The 1496-nt window shown below is 39.8% G+C and overlaps 1 protein-coding gene across 1 annotated transcript; it reads right to left on the minus strand.

The window, feature by feature from the left end:
- Positions 1 to 341: 341 nt before the first annotated feature.
- On the minus strand, positions 342 to 1292 carry OR5AP2 (olfactory receptor family 5 subfamily AP member 2). Its single transcript, NM_001002925.1, has one exon. The coding sequence runs from the start codon at positions 1290 to 1292 to the stop codon at positions 342 to 344; it is 951 nt and encodes a 316-aa protein (NP_001002925.1).
- Between the last annotated feature and the right edge of the window lie 204 nt (positions 1293 to 1496).

The raw sequence follows: 1496 nt of genomic DNA on the forward strand, positions 1-1496 counted from the left end.
CTCTGTCTCAGTTTGTTTGCCCAGAACCCAAAGACACCAATGTTTGTATAATAAAACTCAGACTGAGATAAGCTTAATATTTAAATTAAAACTTAAGTCCAGATTAGCCAATTCCAAGTGTTTTGATACTTTTTCCAGTCCCAACCTTCATCTAGTGTATTGGTGCATCAAAGGGACCCGTGTGTGTGTGTGTATATATATATGAGATACTAGGATATTAAAAAGTATACTTCATTTTAAATTATCTACTTTAACACAGAGAAACAGCTTAAACAATCAGAGAATACAGTTAACATGAAAATGTATTTTCTTCTACGTAACAAATGATGGGTAACATGGCTCTACAAGATGTGTTTCCATAAGATCTTCTTTAGGGCCTTTTTTACATCCTTATTTTTTAAACTATAGATGAGGGGATTTAGCACAGGGATTATTACTGTATAAAAGACAGAGACAACCTTGTCTTGCTCCATTGAGTAGCTAGATGTAGGGCGCAAGTACATGAAGAGGATTGTTCCAAAGAATATGGTGACAGCCATGAGGTAAGAGGCACAGGTGGAGAAGGCTTTGTGCCTGCCCTCTAACGAAGGCATCTTCAAGACGGCAATGAAGATACACAGGTAGGAAATGAGGACAATCATAACACAGCTGATGACAATAAAACTTGAGAATGCCATGATCACAATGCCATTGAAGTGGGTATCAGAGCAAGAGAGTTTGAGCAGTGGCGGGGTGTCACAGTAGAAATGGTTGATCCTATTAGAACCACAAAAGGACAACCTAAAAGTCATCCCTGTATGTATGGCTGCATTTCCACAACCTGCTAAGAAGGAGGTAGCTATTAGCAAAAAGCAAATTCTCCCAGACACGAGAACTGGGTAGAGCAGGGGGTTCCAAATGGCTGCATAGCGGTCATATGCCATCATGGCCAACAGGAAGCACTCAGTCCCCAGGAAGGAGCCAAAGAAGTAGAACTGGGCAGCACATCCATGAAAAGAAATGGCCTTATTCTCAGCCATGAGGTTCACCAGCATCTTGGGAGTGACGGAAGAAGAGTAAGAGGCATCTACAAAAGAGAGGCTACTGAGAAAGAAATACATGGGGGTGTGGAGACAGAGATCAATCTTAATCAATACAATCATCCCCAAATTGCCCACCATGTTTGCCATATAGATCAACAGAAACAATGCAAAGAGGACTCCTTGTAGATCTGGATTGTCGGAAAGTCCTAAGAGGAGAAATTCTGTTACTTCTGTTTGATTTCTGCCTCGAACCTCTTTCATAAGTCTCATCATTTGAGCTGCAATAAGAAAGAAGATGCACAGTGGAATTTAGTCAGATGAATACATGATGGAGCTATAATATATTTTTAGTGAAACAACTTCTAACAGAAGAGCAAAAAGTGAAAAGCATAATAAAAGGTATGTTGGATTTGATGCCAAATCAAAAGACTTGTAGTACTAGATGTGCTGTCTACTAATGACTGAAGCAAGTGA

Source organism: Homo sapiens, chromosome 11, assembly GCF_000001405.40.
Source record: "Homo sapiens chromosome 11, GRCh38.p14 Primary Assembly".
Classification (NCBI taxonomy): Eukaryota; Metazoa; Chordata; class Mammalia; order Primates; family Hominidae; genus Homo; species Homo sapiens.